At 35.8% G+C, this 18,995-nt stretch overlaps 1 protein-coding gene across 21 annotated transcripts in view, besides 1 other annotated feature; it reads right to left on the reverse strand.

Moving 5' to 3' along the window:
* BRIP1 (BRCA1 interacting DNA helicase 1) overlaps positions 1–18,995 on the reverse strand; it is a 184,390-nt gene that overhangs the window by 67,695 nt on the left and 97,700 nt on the right. The gene's annotated exons all lie outside the window — the stretch shown is intronic.
* Positions 11,331–12,076: an enhancer, noted in NCBI's record as "NANOG-H3K27ac hESC enhancer chr17:59835525-59836270 (GRCh37/hg19 assembly coordinates)". NCBI's record gives its function as "activates a minimal SCP1, AML or CMV promoter by ChIP-STARR-seq in primed H9 embryonic stem cells {active_cell/tissue: H9 hESC(primed)}" and the evidence as "EXISTENCE:reporter gene assay evidence [ECO:0000049][PMID:30033119]".

Raw genomic sequence — 18,995 nt, forward strand, 5'->3', positions numbered from 1 at the left:
GATGGACCTGACATATATAGAACATTTTACCCAACAGCAGCAAAATACATATTCTTCACAACTGTACATGGAACATTCTCTAGGACAGATCATGTGTTAGGTAACAAAGCAAGTCTTAACAAATGTAAGATAAAAATTAATACCAGGTATCTTTTGCAACCACAACAGAATCAAACTAAAATTCAGTATCAGAAAGAAAACCAGCAAATTTACAAAAATATGAAAATTAACACACTTTTGAACAACCAATGAATGGGTCAAAAAAGAAATCAAAAGGAAAGTTATGAAATTATCTTGAGACCAGTGGAAAAAAAACCACAACATACCACAAGTAAGAAATACACCAAAAGCAGTACTAAGAGGAAAGTTTATAGCGGTAATGCCAACATTAAAAAAGAAAGATCTCAAGTAACCCAATTCTACACTTCAGGGAACTAGAAAAAGAACAAAGTAAATACAAAGTTTGCAGAAGGAAAGAAATATTAAGATTAGAGCAGAAATAAAATAGGGAACAGAAAAACAATTTAAAAAGTTGGTTTTTGAAAAGATCAACAGAATTGACAAGTCTTTACCTAGATTGGTTAAGGAAAAAAAAAAGAGAAAATCAGAAATGAAAGAAGACACACTGATGCCACCGATACAATAAAAGACTACTCTGAAAAATTATATGCCAATAAATTGGATAAAATAGATGAAATGGACAAATTCCTAGTAATATACAACCTACTAAGACTGAATAATGAAGAAACAGAAAATCTGAACAGACTAGTAAGGAGACTGAATCAGTAACAAAAAGTCTCCCATCAAAGAAAAGCTAAGGACCTAAATGGCCTCAATACCGATTCTACAAAACATTTTTATTTATTTAATTTTATTAATTTTTTATTTTCATTTCTTTGCTAATTAATTAATTTATTTTTGAGATACACTCTTGCTCTGTCACCCAGGCTGGAGTGTAGTAATGTGATCATAGTTCACTGTAACCTCAAACTCCTGGGCTCAAGCAATCTTCCTACTTCAGCCTCCCAAGTAGCTAGGACTAGAGGCATGAGCCACCATGCCCTGGTAATTTTTTTTTTTTTTTTGTAGGTATGGAGTCTCACTATATTGCCCAGGTTGGTCTTGAACTCCTGGCCTCAAGTGCTCCTCCTGCCTTGGCCTCCCAAAGTGCTGGGATTACAGGTGTGAGCCACTATGCACAGTCCTCTATGAAACATTTAAAGCAGGGGTCCCCAACCCCCAGGCCACAGAATACTGGTAGAATCCAGGCTGCACAGCAGGAGGTGAGTGGCAGGTGAGTGAGCATTACTGCCTGAGCTCAGTCTCCTGTCAGATCAGCAGCAGCATTATATTCTCATAGGGGTACAAACACTATTGTGAACTGTGCTTGCAAGGGATCTAGGTTATATGCTCCTTATGAGAATCTAATGCCTGATGATCTGAGGTGGAACAGTTTCATCCCGAAACCATCACCCCCACCCCCAACCCAGGTCTGTGGAAAAGCTGTCTTCCACAAAACCAGTCCCTGGTGCTAAGAAGGTTGGGGACCATTGATTTTAAAGACTAATACAAATGTAGATTCAATGTAACTCCTATCAAAATCCCAATGACATTTTTTACAGAAACAGAAAAAAATACAAAAATTAATATGCAACCACAAAGGACTTGGAATAATCAAAACAATCTTGAGAAAGAACAACAAAGCTAGAGGCATCGTGCTTCATGACACTTACATCTTACAAACCCACCATAATCAAAATAGTAATTGCATTGCCATAAAGACAGACATATAGACCATTGGAAGAGAATAGAGAGCCTGGAAATAAATCCACACATGTATGATCAACTGATCTTCAGCAAGGGTGCCAAAAATACATAATGGGGAAAGGACAGTCTCTTCAACAAATAGTTCAGGGCAAACAATATCCACATGCAAAAGAATAAAACTGGACCTTTATCTTACACAATACACAAAAGTTCACTCAAAATGGATTAGACTTAAATGTAAGATTTCAAACTGTTGGCTGGGCGCAGTGGCTCATGCCTGTAATCCCAGCACTTTGGGAGGCCAAGGCGGGCAGATCACGAGGTCAGGAGATTGAGACCATCCTGGCTAACACGGTGAAACCCCATCTCTACTAAAAATACAAAAAATTAGCCGGGCATGGTGGCGCACGCCTGTAGTCCCAGCTACTCGGGAGGCTGAGGCAAGAGAATCGCTTGAACCTGGGAGGCGGAGGTTGCAGTGAGCCAAGATCACGCCACTACACTCCAGCCTGGCGACAGAGCGAGACTCTGTCTAAAAAAAAAAAAGACTTGAAACTGCAAAACTCTTAGAAAAAAACACAGGAGAAAATTTTTGTAACATTGGATTTAACAATGATTTTATGCATATGACATAAAAGCACAGGCAATAAAAGTAAAACCTACGATTGGGACCACAACAAACTAAAAGGTTTCTGCAAAGTAAAGGGAAAAAAAAGAGTGGAAAGGCAACCTAAAGGATGAGAAAAAATATCTGCAAACCATATATCTGATAAGGGGTTAATATCCAAAATATATTAAGAAACCCAATATTAAAAAAAAATTGAAAAACAGGCAAAGGACATGAATAGACAGTTCTCCAAAGAAGACATACAAATGGTTAACAGGTATATGGAAAGATGCTCAACATCAGTAATTATCAGGGAAATGCAAATCAAAACCACGATGAGATATTGGTTCACAGCTGTTCGGAAGGCCATTATTTAAAAAAGTAAATAAAATAACTATTAGTGAAGATGTTGTGATATTGGAATCCTTGTGTATTGCTGGTGGGAATATAAAACAGTATAGCCACTGTGGAAAACAGAAAAGGAAATAAAAATCAAAATAAAACAGTATATATAGAAATGTTTTATGGGTTTCAATATACAAGTCTTTTACCTCCTTAAGTTTATTCCTAAGTGTTCTATTTGTTTTGATACTACTGCAAATGGAAATGTTTTCCTAATTTGCTTTTCAGACAGTTTGTTGTCAGTGTATAGAAATACAACTCATTTTTGTATGTTAATTTTGCATATTGCAACTTTACTCAATTTATTAGTCCTAACAGGTTTTTTAAAAATAAGATCTTTAGGAAAGATCACGTCTGTAAATAAGGACAATTTTACTTTTTCCTTTCCCATTTGGAAGACTTTTATTCCTTTTTCTTGCCTAACTGCTCTGGCTAGGAATTCTAGTACTACGTTATACAGAAATGGCAAGAGTGGGCATCCTTGCCCTGTTTCTGATCTTAGAGGAAAACCTTTCAGTTTGCACCACTGAGTATGCTACGAGCTTCTTACATATGACCTTTATTATATTAAATTTCCTTCTATTCCTACCTTGTTGAGAATTTGTATCATGAAAGTGTGCTGCATTTTGTCAAATGCTTTTTTGCATTATTGAAACAATGCATGAAGATTCTTTTCAGCAGATGGTGTTGAGAAAACTGGATCACCACATGTAAAAAGAATGAAGTAACACCTTGCCTACATAATAAAAATTAACTCAACATTGGTCAAAGACATTACTGTAAGAGCTAAAAAATATAAAACTCTAAAAGAAAAAAATAGAAGGCTTTATGACCTTGGATTTGGCAATGATTTGTTGGCTGTGGCATCAAAAGCATAAGTAACTAAAGAAAAATACAGATAAACTCGGATTTCATAAAAAATTATAAAACTTTTTTGGATACTGTCAAGAAAGTTAAAATGATAGTACACAGAATGCAAAGCATATGGCTGATAAAAGATTAATATCCAGAAGATATAAAGAACTACAACTCAACAACGAAAAAACCAAACAGATTCAAATATAGGCAAAGGACTTTAATAGACATTTCTTGAATGATTAAAAAAAAAAAAAAGGCCCAAAGGACATGAAAAGATGCTCAACATCCTTAGTCATTAGGAAACTGCAAGTCAAAACCACAATGAAGTCCCACTTCACTTAGTATAACTGCTGTCCAAATAAGTAAGTGTTGCAAGGACACGCAGAAACTGTAACTGTCACACATTGCTAGTGGCAATGTAAAATGGTACAACTGCTGAGGAAAACAGTCTGGCAGTTCCTCAAAAGTTCATAGGCATAGAATTACCATATGATCCAGCAATTCCACTCCTAAGTATATAACCCCAAATATCTGAAAGTACTAGGATCCAAACAAACAGCTGTATGCTGATGTTTATAGAAGCATTATTCCCAATAACCAAATAGTGGAAACAACTCAAGTGTCAATCAACAGATGAATAAACAAAATGTATGACCTACGTGCAATGGAAAATTATTCAACTATAAAGGAATGAAATTCTGACAAATGCTTGAATATGGATAAACCCATAGTAAGTGAAAAAAGCCACTGTATTTTTGTACACAAAGTACAAATATTATATGATTTCACTTATATGAGGTACCTAGAATAGACAAATTCTTAGAGATGGGAAGTAGAACAGAGGTTACCAGGGCCTGAGGGAAGGGGCTAAACAGGAGTCATTGTTCCATCAGTACAGTTTCTGACTGGGATGATTGAAAAGTTTTGGAAAGGGATACTGGTGATGGTTGTACAACATCATGAATGTACTTGATGGCACTAAGTTGTACACTTAAAAATGCTTAAAAGGTAAATTTTATGTCATGTGTATTTTACCACAATTTTAAAAATTGAAAAGAACACACAAATGAATACTATTTAGTAACATAAATAAATGAACTAGTTTCTCACATATTAACCAGGATGAATCATAAACTTCTAGATGTTGAGTAAAAAATGCAAATACAGATAGATAACAAATATGATTTCATTTATATAAAGTTCAAAAACAATATGTTCTTTGAGAAAAATATATATAACTTTAAAAAACTCATGAAACTAATACCTTTAGCTTTAGGGGGATACAATTGGGAAGGAACAAATGGAGGATTTTTTTTTTTGAGACAGAGTCTCGCTCTGTCACCCAGGCTGGAGTACAGTGGTGCGATCTCGGCTCACTGAAATCTCCGCCTCCTGAGTTCAAGCAATTCTCCTGTCCCAGCCTCCTGAGTAGCTGGGACTACAGGCGGACACCACCACACCTGACTAATTTTTGTATTTTTAGTAGAGACGGGGTTTCACCATATTGGTCAGGCTGGTCTCGAACTCCTGACCTCAGGTGATCCACCCCTCAGCCTCCCAAAGTGCCGGGATCACAGGCATGACCCACTGCGCCTGGCCAGATGGAAGCTTCTAATGTAGAAATAATGTTCTATTTCTTAAGCTGGGTGATGGATACTCAGATCTCCATTTTATTATTATTTAAAATGTACATATTAGTTTTGTAGACTTATATACACACATATTTCACAAATATAAAATATAAAAATTAAACAACATTAGTCTGATTATTAATATGATGAGTTAGAGGAGGGGTTATAACAGGTACATTTAGGCTACTAATATAGTAATCCAGAGATGGTGGTAGCTTGAATTAGAAAGAGTTAAGAAAAAAAATGCAAACCTTGAGAATAAGATAAAAAAGAAACAGTACAAACTTTCCATTTCAAATGGAGGCAAAGGCCCACTAGAAGATTATCTAGGGAAATACACTTTGTTGAACTCACTGTTCACTATTAATTAAGGTTCCAGACTTAGCAAAATTATATTTCAACTTAGATATTTTTGTCTAATACAAATACAAATCATTTCTGTTCAGGAGAAAAGATAACCCTAAAAGTTACTATTTATTGCCCTGTAGTACATCAACCAGTTTTCTTATAGTCTATTCCTTTATTAAATTGCCTACAAGTACGTGAATCCTTAAATGCTCTCTGAATAGGCCAATCATCATACTTTTTCTTCATTAATCAGTGAGTTTAATAAAATCTGTGATAGGTGTTAACTTTATATGTGAGCTATGACTTTATCTTTTTGAAAATTAACTGTAGAGAAAGAAAAGTGAACAGATTATAAAAATACTTAAAATTAAAATGAGTAAGATATGGTGTTGGATGGGACATGACAGGGAAGGGAGAAAAAGGTTCACAGGTGCTCTGTAGGTATATGATTAGCCCAAATATGATTACAGTACCTGCTATGTTTTGAACATTTGTCCTCTCCAAAATGTTGAAATTTAATCTCTAATGTGGCAGCATTGAGAGGTGGGGGATTTTAAGAGGTGACAGGGTAACAAGAGTGCTGCCCTCATGAATGGATTTGTCCAGTCATGTATTAATGGCTTATCATGGGAGTGGGACTAGTGGCTTTATACAAAAAGGAATAGAGACTCGAGCTTGTATACTCAGCCTCCTTGCCCTGTGATACTCTGAGCCACCCTGGGACTCAGCAGAGAGTTCCCACCAGCAAGAAGGCCCGCACCAGATGCAGCCTCTCAGTCTTGAACTTCTCAGCCTCTGTAACTGCAAGAAATAAATTCCTTTTAAAAAATAAATCACCCAGTTTCAGGTAGTCTGTTACAAGCAACAGAAAATGAACTAAGACAGTACCATTCATTCATACAGGCAACACTGGCAAAGGACCAAGACTGGAAGGAAAGATTAAAAGTTTGTTGCCTTTAAGATATCCAAATGGAAATGTTGATATGGCAGTTGGGTATATGGGCATAGTACTTAAGGAAGAAGTCAGAATTTAATTATATATTAGGAAAGCATGACAAAAGATAAAACTAAAAAAGAATGTATAGAGATGAGATTGCCTAGTGGGAGAGTACAGATTTAAAAGGGGGGACCAGCAAGAAAATCTTATTTCCTCTCCATTTTTTTTTTTTTTTAGAGATGGGATCTCACTCTGTTGCTCAGGCTGAAGTGCAGTGGTGTGATCACAGCTCATTGTAGCCTCACATTCCTGGGCTCAAGCGATCCTCCCACCTCAACCTCTCAAGTAGCTGGGACTACAGGTATGCACTGCCATGTCTGGCTTGAAAAGAACAACAACAACAACAACAACAAAAAACCAGAGAGGGTCTTGCTGTGTTGCCAAGGCTGGTCTCAAACTCCTGGACTCAAGCACTCCTCCACCTTGGCTTCCCAAAGGGATTATATGCATGAGCCACCACACCCAGCCCCTCATCTCTACTACTGCTCATCCAATTCATCAGCAAATCCTGCCAGCACTACTTTTAAATTTATCTAGACTCTAAACATTTCTCACTATCTTTACTGCTACCACAGTGGTCCAAGCCACCACCATCTATCATCTAGATTACAGCAGACTCCTTAACAGTCACCCTTGCTTCAGCCTATGCTCTCTACAGTCCATTTTCCATACAGCAGCCAACATAATCCTTTTAAAACTAAGTTTAAACCCTCCAATGGCTTCCTACTGCATTTAGAACAAAATCTAAATTCTTACTGTGGTGTGATTTTACCCAGCTATTTCTTTGGCCGTATCTCCTTCAATTCCCCATACTTCAGTCCTACTCTGCTACAATGGCTTCCTTTTGCTCAAACTAGGTACTCTCCTGTCTCAAGATTCCCACTATCTGAACATTCTTCCCCCTAAATCAGAATGGTTTGCTTCCTCTCTTCCTTTACACTTTTACTCACTGTCACCTTCTCAGATAGGCCTTCCCAAACCATCCAATTAAATTCTAAATGAGCACCCTCCAGCCCCCACCCAAAAAAATTCCAACCCCAGGATCCTCTTTTCCCCCTTTCCTTGCTTTAGTTTTCTACATAGCACTTATCACCATCTGTATTAGTCCCCTCAGGCTACCACACAAAAATATCAGACTGAATGGCTTAAACAAAAGAAATTTATTTCTTACAGTTATTAGTTTAAGCCACAGATTGAGTGGCTTAAACAAGAGAAATTTATTTCTTACTTCTTGGCTATGAAGTCCAAGATAAAGGTGCCTGTTAACTTGATTTCTGGTTAGGGCTCTCTTCTTGGCTTGCAGACAGCCACCTTCTGTGTCCTCACATGGCCTTTCCTCTCTATTCAGAGAGGAACAGGGAGAGAGAGCAATGAAGTTTTCTGGTGTCTCTTCTTATAAGAACACTAATCCTATCAGATAAGGAAGGCCCTTACAGCCTCATTTAACCGCAATTACTTCCTTAGAGGCCCCATCTCCAAATATAACCACACTGGGGGTTAGGGCTTCAACATAAAAAATTTGGTGGTATACAAACATTCAGTCCATAATATCATCTAACATATTAGTAGCTTTCTGTGTCTCTCATTTATTTTCTGTCTCTCACCCTGGAATACAAAAGGACAATGATTTTTGTCTGTTTTACTTACTGCTGATTGCCCAGTGCATAGAACAGTACCTTACATATAGAAAGTGGTCAGTAAATACTTTTTGAATGAATTTTATAAATGAATGAAAAATGAAGGTCCAAAACAATGGAAGGTCAGGGAGGAGAGTAGGGAGGGGTAAAACATAACTGTAAAACCAGATGCCCAAGTCCTTAATAAAAGAAGAGTTGGCTGGGTGCAGTGGCCCACACCTGTAATCCCAGCACTTTGAGATGCTGAGGCTGGAGGATCACTTGAGCCCAGGAGTTCAAGACCAGCCTGGGCAACTTGGCAAAACCCTGTATCTACAAAAGTACAAAAATTAGCTGGGTGTGGTGGTGTGTGCCTGTGATCCCAGTTACTCAGGAGGCTGAGGTGGGAGGACTGCTTGAGCCCTGGAGGTTGAGGCTGCACTGAGCTGTGATCATGCCACCGTACTCCAGCCTGGGTGATAGAGTGAGACCCTATCTGAAAAAACAAATAAAAATAAAATATTAAAAATAAGAGTATCCAGATGCTTTGTAAGATGACAAAGATGAGGGGGAAAGAAGGGTATGACTAAAAGACATGAGCAAACAGACTAGCTAGACTAGACTAGTTTTCTCTTGGTGAGACTTTGTTCATTCATTCCTTCCTCCCTTCCTTTCTTCTCCCCTCCCTTCCGGAAGAAAACAGACAGGTAAAGATTTAGAAAGAACAATGGAGAGTAAATAGGATACTAAGTCTGAGATACTGCAAGTTACGAGAGGAAAGGATGGTCACAATTTGGAAGGTCTGACGAAGTGGTATGTCCTCTGGGTCTATCCGGATTTTAGTTCGGGCAAAGAGCTATGAGGAACACTTCATAAAAGGGAGAATTTGGTGACTATGACACATTTCCACAGAACACAATGTGTTTTATTTTAATTTCTTCAGTGGAGATTTTTTTTAAAGTACCTTAAAACCTTTTGTTAAGGATTACACAGGGGCTACATGCAAATTTGGAGTACAATTCTATAGCAAAAACATACTGGTTATTTTAGTGAAAATGGCCTACAGCAAATTTTCAGTTTCAGATAACAAAATATTTAGGTCTACAGCTTTTATATTCTCATTGCAGGTGACACTTGAATTACACATTTAGACAGCTTAACTATTTCTGTCTTGCCAGAGAAATCACATAAATAAACACAAAAATAACTCAATTGTTAAATTCTCTTAGGTATCCTAACTAGGCACCTAAAAACTAACTTAAAGGAAAGTACGATGACACAGAGCTGTCTCTCAGGTCTTATGGCTTACATATATGAAAAATGTGAGGTATCTTTGTTGAAAATATCCTACTTAATAGCTCATAAAGGGTAAATACTATTCATATAGGGAGACCAGCCAACATATAGTGATAGAGATGATTTAATTTACTAATTGGTGTTCACATCACTTCAATTTGTTAACCTCAGAGGCAATTTTTTTTAAAGTCAGATCTCACAAACTAAAAGACACTTTAGAATGCCCATGTCTTATCTGGATATTGTCATTTTACTTTGTCAAACTTCTTTAAAACTAGTATTTCGCTAGGGAGGGAATAAGTTAGAATGCAACCTAGTGGGGAAATCCTGCATTTGCTCAATGTCCATAGCTTTTACACAGTTCCAGATGTTCAGTACATTAATAATACACTAACTCAAAGCCTCTTTTTGAAACTTTAGAAAGTGCAAATTGCATTAAGACCTCTTTGCCCTCATTAGTGGTATTGTTACAATCCCAGTCCTCTGGAAAATGTTTTTTGGCATGTGTTTAACTTTATAATATTGCCATTTACTCACTTTAATAGCCAGTACTCAAGTCTTAATGCTTTTAATAGGCCTGCCTAAACAGACTACCATCTTTTGTAATCTTACTCACATAATTTATTTCATAAGTAGAACCTGGTATATTTTTCCATCTAAAGATGATTCTTCATTATTCATTTCATGAGGTACTCATATGTTTTAAATGTTTACTTTCTTTTATTCAGTTGATATGTACCCATATGTGGCATATGTTAGAAATAAAAAAGAGTTCCTTTTAAATACTAATAAAAATGAAAAAGTAGTAGTGTTTTTTAAATAACTTTTTTAGTTACAGTAAAAATGAATGTCCTTAATTTTTGCTAAATACAAACTGAAAATATAAGAAAACCAAGAATATGAATTTCTATTGAAACAGCTTCCTGTTTGGTGATATTTGACTCAGCACTTTCACCTCAAGAGGCTGGGTTATATTTCAGAATCAAACTTTCAATGAACACAGGTGCAGTTGGAGGTGCACTTGGAGGAATAATATAGACAAATACTGCCCTAAAGTGAAAGTAAGACCTCTGTTGGCAATCTAACTGGAAATGAAGATCCTACAGCCCTCTCTGAAAAGGAACACTCTCTCTCATAAATTAGTTAAAATACTGAGGACTCTGAAAATGTCAGAGCTGCACTACTAGTGCAGTAATGCACTAGTGACACCTGATTTACAGTTACTTCTTGATACATTCTGATAAAAATATACAATGATATTTACAATGCAAAAAACTTCAAAAAATGACATTTGTAAAACAACTAACATATTTACACATGAAATTCTACTTTCCTGAAATCATGTGAAAAGAAAACAATAAAAGCCAGACGCGGTGGCTCACACCTGTAATCCCAGCACTTTGGGAGGCCAAGGCAGACAGATCTCTTGAGCTCAGGATTTCAAGACCAGCCTGGGCAACATGGCTAAACCCCATCTCTACAAAAAAAATAACTGGGCATGGTGGTATGTTCCTGTAGTCCCAGTTACCCAGGAGGCTGAAGTGGGAGGATCACCTGAGCCAGGGAGGTAAAGACTACAGTGAGCCAGTGATTGTACCACCACATTCTAGCCTGGGCAACAGAATGAGACACTGTCTTGAAAAAAAAAAAGAGAAAAAAGAAAAGAAAACAATAAGAACTCAATACTATGTTATGTATGGAACAAATTCTTAACTCTTTGAAACATAAATTCTGAATTACTGTTGTTTCATCAACAGTTAATTCATCAATGTCTAAAGTAATCATTTAGTTAAAATGTATATAATCTGACTTGTTTTGCTTTTTAAAAATGAAGAACTGTTGACTGAGTTAATAATGTTGGCTAAAATCTGAATGTATAAACTTATTCACACAAATTCAACTATATGTTTCATTCTTTTCCTGAATAGATTAACTGTAGGCGAAAAAGGCAACTCGTTTTCTATACTTCTGTAAATGGGCTAATAATTAAACTATAATGAAGTCAGTGCTCTTGCACTATTAGAATTCAGGCTGAGGGAAGCAGATGAATAAGAAGCAACCACTATAATGTTACCTAAAAGTTACTACTTTCAAGTATTGCCATCTGAATCTGCTGTAAATTTGTTGCTCTAAAACTTGAAAGAAATTTTTTGGAGAAAGCATCGCTTCACAATCTAGTGAATAAGATCCAAAAGAAAAATATTTAAATTACAGTGCAGTGCATAACAAACATAGAAAGGCCTCAAGGCATACCACTACAGGAAACCATCAAATCACAAAGGAAGACAGCAAGAGAAATAAAGAAACAAAGTACCTACACAACAACTAGAAAATAATTCACAATGCTGGGTGGGCGTGGTCACTCATGCCTGTAATTCCAGCACTTTAGGAGGCTGAGGCAGAAGGATTGCTTGAGGCCAAAGGATTGCTTGAAGCCAGGAGTTTAAGACCAGTGTGGGCAAAACAGCAAGACCCTATCTCTAAAAAAAAAAAAGTTTTTAAAAAATGTATCTGGGTGTGGTGGCACATGCCTGTAGTACCAGCTACTCAGGAGGCTGAGGTTGATCCCTTCAACCCAGGAGTTCAAGGTTATAGTGACCTATGATCACACCCCTGCACTCTGACCTGGGTGACAGAGCAAGACCCTGTCATAAATAAATAAATAAATAAATAAATAAATAAATAAATGGCAGTAATAACTCTTTACCTTTCAATACCTACCTTGAATGTAAATGAATTACACTCTAGCAAAAAGACATAGAGTCTTAATTCCCAGAGCAATTTAGAAAGAGTAAGAAAAGAAGATCCAACTATATGCTGCCTACAAGAGATTTGCTTTTAAGGATGCACAGAGGCTGAAAGTGAGCAGCTGAAAAAAGCTATTCAACAAAATGGAAACCAAAAGAGAGTGGGGTTATCTATACTTACATAAGACAAAATAGACTAAGTCAAATACTGTAAAAAGAAACAACGAAGAACATTATTTAACAAAAAAAGGTCAATTCATCAAGAGGATATAACAATTGTAAATACACATGCACCTAACATCAAAGTACCTAAATATATAAAGCAAGTATTAAAGGATCTGAAAAGAGAGATAGATTCTAATACAATAATAGTAGGAGACATTGATACCCCACTTTCAACAATGAACAAATCATCCAGACAGAAAATATATTTAAAAACATTGGACTTGAATAAATTTAGACCAAATGGACCTAACAGGCATTTACAGGCATACCTTGGAGATATTGTAGGTTCAGTTTCAGACCACCACAATAAAGCAAATATCACAATAAAGTGAGTCATACATTTTTGTTACCCATCATATATAAACGGTTAATGTTTATACTATACTGCAGTCTATTATGTGTACAAGTGGCATTATGTCTAAAAAAATACATACCTTAATTTTAAAATACTTTATTGCTAAAAAAATGCTGACACAGAGACATGAAGTGAGTACATAGTATTGGAAAAATGGTGACAATAGACTTGCTTGACACAGGGTTGCCACAAACCTTTAATTTATGAAAAAAAAAAAACCCAGAATATTTGCAAAGTGCGATAAAGCAAAGCACAATAAAATAAGGTATTCCTGTACAGAATATCCCATTCAAGAGCAACAGAATACACATTCTTCTCAAATACCATAAAATAGTCTCCAGGATAGATTATATATTAGGCCATGAAACAAGTTTTAACAAATTTAAGTTTGTTATCATATCAAGTATCTTTGCTGGCCACAATGGTATAAAACTAGAAATGAGTAACAGGAAAATTTGGGAAAATTCACAAATATATGGAAATTAAACAACATGTTCCTGAACAACCAAACAACCAAGGGGGCAATGAAGAAATTAAAAGGGAAATTTAAAAAAAATATATTGAGACAAACAAAAATGGAAACACAACATACCAAAACTTAAGGGATGCAGCAAACGTAGTCCTAAGAGGAAAGTTTACAATAACAAATGCCTACATCAAAAAAGAAGATCCCAAATAAATAACATTACTCCTCAAGGATCTAGAAAAAGAAGAACTAAGCCCAAAATTAACAGAAGGAAAGAAGTAATAAAGATCAGAGAATAAATAAATAAAGTAGAGACTAGGAAAACAACACAAAGATCAACAAAACTATGAATTGGTTTTTGAAAAGATAAATGAAATCAACAAACCTTTAGCTAGATTAACAAGAAAAAAAGAGAATATTCAAATAAAATGAGAAACAAATGAGGAGATATTATAACTGATACCACAGAAATACAAAGGATCAAAGTGACTATTACAATTATATGCCAACAAAATAAACTGGATACCTGGAAGAAATGGATAAATTCCTAGACACATACAACCTACCAAGACTGCATCATAAAGAAATAGAAAATTTAAACAGACCAATAATGAGTTCTTTCCAATCAAAGAAAAGCCCAAGACCTGTTGGCTCACTGCTGAATTCTACCTAACAGTTAAAGAACTAATACCAATCATTCTCAAATGCTTTCAAAGAAGTTGAAAAGGAGGATATACTTCTAAATTCTTTTTACATGACCAGCATTATCACCCTGATACCAAGGCCAGATAAGGACAATACAAGAAAAGAAAACTGTAGGCCAATATCCTTGATAAATAGAAAAGCAAAAATCCTCAACAAAATACTAGCAAACCAAATTCAACAACACATTAAAAGAACAATTCAACATGATCAAATGGGATTTATCACTGGATGGAAAGATAGTTCAACATATGTAAATCAATAAATGTATACAGCACATTAATAGAATGAAGGACAAAAACCATATGATCATCTCATTAGATGTAGAAAAATCATTTGACAAAATTCAACATCCTTTCCTGAGAAAAACTTTTACTAAATTAGGTATAGAAGAAATGTACTGCATATTTGGCCAATAAAGGCCAAATATGATAAGACCACACTTAACATTATATTCAATGGTGAAAAAATTGAAAGCCTTACCTCTAAGATCTGGAACAAGACAAGGATGCCCACTTTCACTATGTCCACTTAACACAGTACTGAAGTCCTTGCCAGAAAAATTTAGAAAGAGAAAGAAATAAAAAGCATCCAAATAGAAAAGAAAAAAGTGAAACTGCCCCTGTTTGCTGAAGACATAATCTTATATATAGAAACCCCTAAAGACTACAACAAAAAACTGTTAGAACTAATAAATGAATAAATACAGTAAACTTGCAGGATACAAAATCAACACACAAAAAATCAGTAGCATTTCTATATACTAATAACAGACTATCCAAAAAAGAAATTAAGAGAACTCCTTTTACAATAGCTACCAAAAAGAGAGAGAAAGAAAGAAAGAAATTTAACCAAGGTGAAGAAAGGCTTGTACGCTGAAATCTATAAAATGTTGATGAGAGAAATTGTAGAAGATACAAGTAAATAGCATGATATTCTTTGCTCATAGACTGGAAGAATATTGTTAAAATGTTCATATTACCCAAAGTGACATATTGATTCAATGTAATCTCTATCAAAATTCCAATGTCATTTTTCATAGAAATAGAAAAAAGAATCCTAAATTTCATATAGAGCCACAAGAAGCTTTGAATAGCCATGGCAGTCATGAGTAAAAAGAACAAAAATGGAGGCATCACACGACCTGATTCCAAACCACACTGCAAAGCTATAGTAATTAAAACAGCATGGTATTGGCATAAAAAACAGCCACAGTGACCAACGAAACAAAGAGCACAGAAAGAAACCCATGTATGTGCTCAACTGATTTTCAACAAAGGTGCCAAGTATACACAATGGGAAAAAAAGACTCTCTAAAAATGGTGCTAAGAAAATTAGATATCCACATGCAGAAGAATGAAAATGGACCCTTATCTCACAATATTTAAAAAAAAACTCAAAATGAATTAAAGATTTAAACCCAAGAACTGAAACTGTAAAACTACTAGAAGAAAACAGAGGGGGGAAAACTACATAACATTGGTTTAGGCAATGATTTTTTGGATTTGATCCCAAAAGCACAGGCAACAAAAGCAAAAATAGGCCAATGCAATTACAACAAAGAGAAAACAATAAACAAAGTGGCAACCTACAGATTGGGAGAAAATATTTACAAGCTATATATCCAATAAGGAGTTAATGTCCAAAATATATAAGAAACTCAAACAACTCATTAGCAAGAACACAAATAACTCAATTTAAAAATGGGCAAGGGATTTGAATAGACATTTCTAAAAGAAGACAACAAATGACCAACAGATACATGAAAAAATGCTCAAAATCACTAATCATTAGGGAAATACAAATTAAAACCATGATGAAACATTACCTTATGCCTGTAACAATGGCTACTGTCAAAAAGATGAAAGATAACAAAGTGTTGGTGAGGATGTGGAGAAAAGGGAAGCCTTGGACACTGTTGGTAAGAATGTAAATTAGTACAGCCATTATAAAAAACTGAATGGACATTACTCAAAACACTCAAAACAGAATTACCTTATGATCTAGCAATCTCACTTCTGAGTATTTACCCCTAAAATTTGAAGTCAGTTTGCAGAAGAAATATCTACACTCCCTCGTTCACTGTAGCATTGTTCATTTGGCTGGAATTGGAGAACATTATGCTAAGTGAAATAAGCCAGGCACAGAAAGATAAATGTCTCATGCCCTTACTTTACGTGGCATCTAAAACAACTGAACTCAAAGAAGTGACAGTAAAATGGTAGTTACCAGAGTCTGGGGCAACCACCCTTCTACTTTCTATCTCTGAATTTGACTACTCTAAGTACCTCATATAAGTGTAATAGTGTATTTGCCGTTTTTATGACGAGCTTATTTCACTTAGTCTAATGTCCTCCAGATTCATCCATGTTGTAGCATGAAAAGAAATACCCATTTATTATCTCACAGTCTCTGTAGGTCAGAAGTCCAGACACAGGGCAGCTGGTATGGGAATGTGGGGAAGGTTGTGCATGTGTCGGGTAAAGGGGTATATGAGAGCTGTCTATACTGTCCACTCAATTTTGCTGTGAACCTAAAACTGGTATAAAAAATACCATGTGACCTATGGTATTCTCTACATTGAGCTGCTATCTGTAGAATCTTTTCCTTGATGACTTTTTTCCTTTATGATCTCTCATGTTAGCATGACTTCAAGCTAACATTATCTACACTAGGCAAGCAAGGTGAATCTTATTTCTAAAAACTCCTCAGAAATAGTACTTTGTACAAAGGCAAACAACCAACGCACTGATATGAGCTCTAACCATTCATTCACCATGTCCTGTAGAGACTGATGTATCTTTTGAAAGACTTTTCAAAAATGCAATAACCCTTGAGTTAACTAGATATCTTAAAATCGAAGGCTAGAGATTGGGAGAGTTCGCTTCTATAATTTGCATCTGCTGTATATTTGAGAATATATAAAATACAAGAACCCAAATAGATGGGTGAAACTCTTAAAATGTTAAAATCGTAGCTAGAAGTTAGAAACCTGTGTAAGCCATATTAAAGAGATAAAGTAAGTACAGCATTTCTCTATGAACATAGATGAAAAAGGATGGAAAGACACTAGATATTCAAGATACACTACATATACATGAGGTATCAAATATCCAAGATACATTAAATATATCTGAGGCATATAAAATACTACCCAATATCCATAAAATCTTATTCAGCCACCCATTGGTGACACCCATTCTGGCTCCATGTATCCTCTGCCCAAGAAAGGCAAATAAAATACATTGTAGCTCAGCAGGCAAACTGATGGACTACAGCTGTGGCCAAGTGCATTTGCGCTGGCCTTACTCTAATAAAGTGTGTCAATTGTGCATCTGTTGGGTCCCCTTGCATAAACCTCATTTCTAGTCTCTGTAAGCACACCATCAGCAAAGGAGAGCTGATGTGGAAAAGAGAAAGACAAGACATAAACATTGCACAGCCCAGGATTTAGGTAGTGTGGTCCTTCCACCCACTTACATTGTATTCACATGTTAACCTACCCTCAACTCTCTCCCCTTGCCTCCCACTGTGTGTTTTAACTATCTTTACTAAACTATATGATTCAAGCATCCCAATGTGGTGTCACTTTTTTGTCCCATGACCTCTGGGATAAGTATATTTGGAGACTACCACTGCATCAAGTTAACGTCCCTCCTGACACCACACAAATCATCTAAATTCAAAAGGTGCCAATATGAAACTGTCAGCCAAAAAGGAAAATCAATTGGTTGCTATTATGAAGATTAACTGGGTAGATATTAAAGATTGTAACCAAGATGAAACAACTAGAACCTCCAAGTTTTTCTAGTCCATATCAAGCTCAAAAATTGCTTTAATATGTAAAATGTACAGTAAATTAATCATAAGTTATATTTAACTAATTTGTCTGTCATTTCCCAAAAGTGCTTCCTATATTTATCCTTACATCCATGAAAAATAGTTTAGAACTAAGGGGGTGGGGGGAGCACAGGGAGTTAGGATGAATTCAGCTTCTAAATTTGCTACTTGATCCCTGCCTGCTATGGTTTGAATGTCCCCTCCCAAAGTCATGTTAAAATGTAATTGTCATTGTAACAGTATTAACAGGTGCAGCATTTAAGAGACCATTAGGCCAGAAAGGTTCTGTCCTCATGGATGGGTTTAATGCCTTTAAAAAATAAAGGAGCTTTTTCTTTCTGTGTCACTTGCCCTTTCACCTTTCACCTCGAGATGATGGAGCAAGAAGGCCCTTACTAGATGCTGGCAACTTGATACTTGGACTTCTTAGTCTCCAGAATTGTGAGAAATAAATTTATTTTCTTTCTGTCCAGTCTGTGGTATTCTGTTATAGCATCAAAAAATTGACCAAGACACTGCCTTCTCAAACTAAGTTACCTGGACATCCTTGACTCTAGTTTAATCTTAACTTCTCTGCCTTTATTCTCCCTAGATTTTTCACTTAAAAATTATAATACATATACATACATAAACACACACATACACATATACACATACATATGTATGTGTGTGTGTGTGTGTGTATATATTATATATATATATATATATATATATATATATATATATATATATATTTTTTTTTTTTTTTTTTTTTTTTTTTTTTGAGACAGAGTTTCACTCTTATTGCCCAGGCTGGAGTGCATGGCGTGATCTTGGCTCACTGCAACCTCCGCCTCCTGGATTCAAGCAATTCTCCTGCCTCAGCCTCCCAATTAGCAGGGATTACAGGCATGTGCCACCATGTCCGGTTAATTTTGAATTTTTAGTACAGACGGAGTTTCACCATGTTGGCCAGGCTGGTCTTGAACTCCTGACCTCAGGTGATCCACCCTCCTTGGCCTCCCAAAGTGCTGGGATTACAGGCATGAGCCAGCATGCCCAGCCTAATCAATATATTTTTATAAAGCTTTTTTGAAACCAGATGTGATACAAATATATTCATGTTATTTATAGAAAGTACATAAATGACTATATTCAT

This window comes from Homo sapiens, chromosome 17, assembly GCF_000001405.40.
Source record: "Homo sapiens chromosome 17, GRCh38.p14 Primary Assembly".
Taxonomy (NCBI): Eukaryota; Metazoa; Chordata; class Mammalia; order Primates; family Hominidae; genus Homo; species Homo sapiens.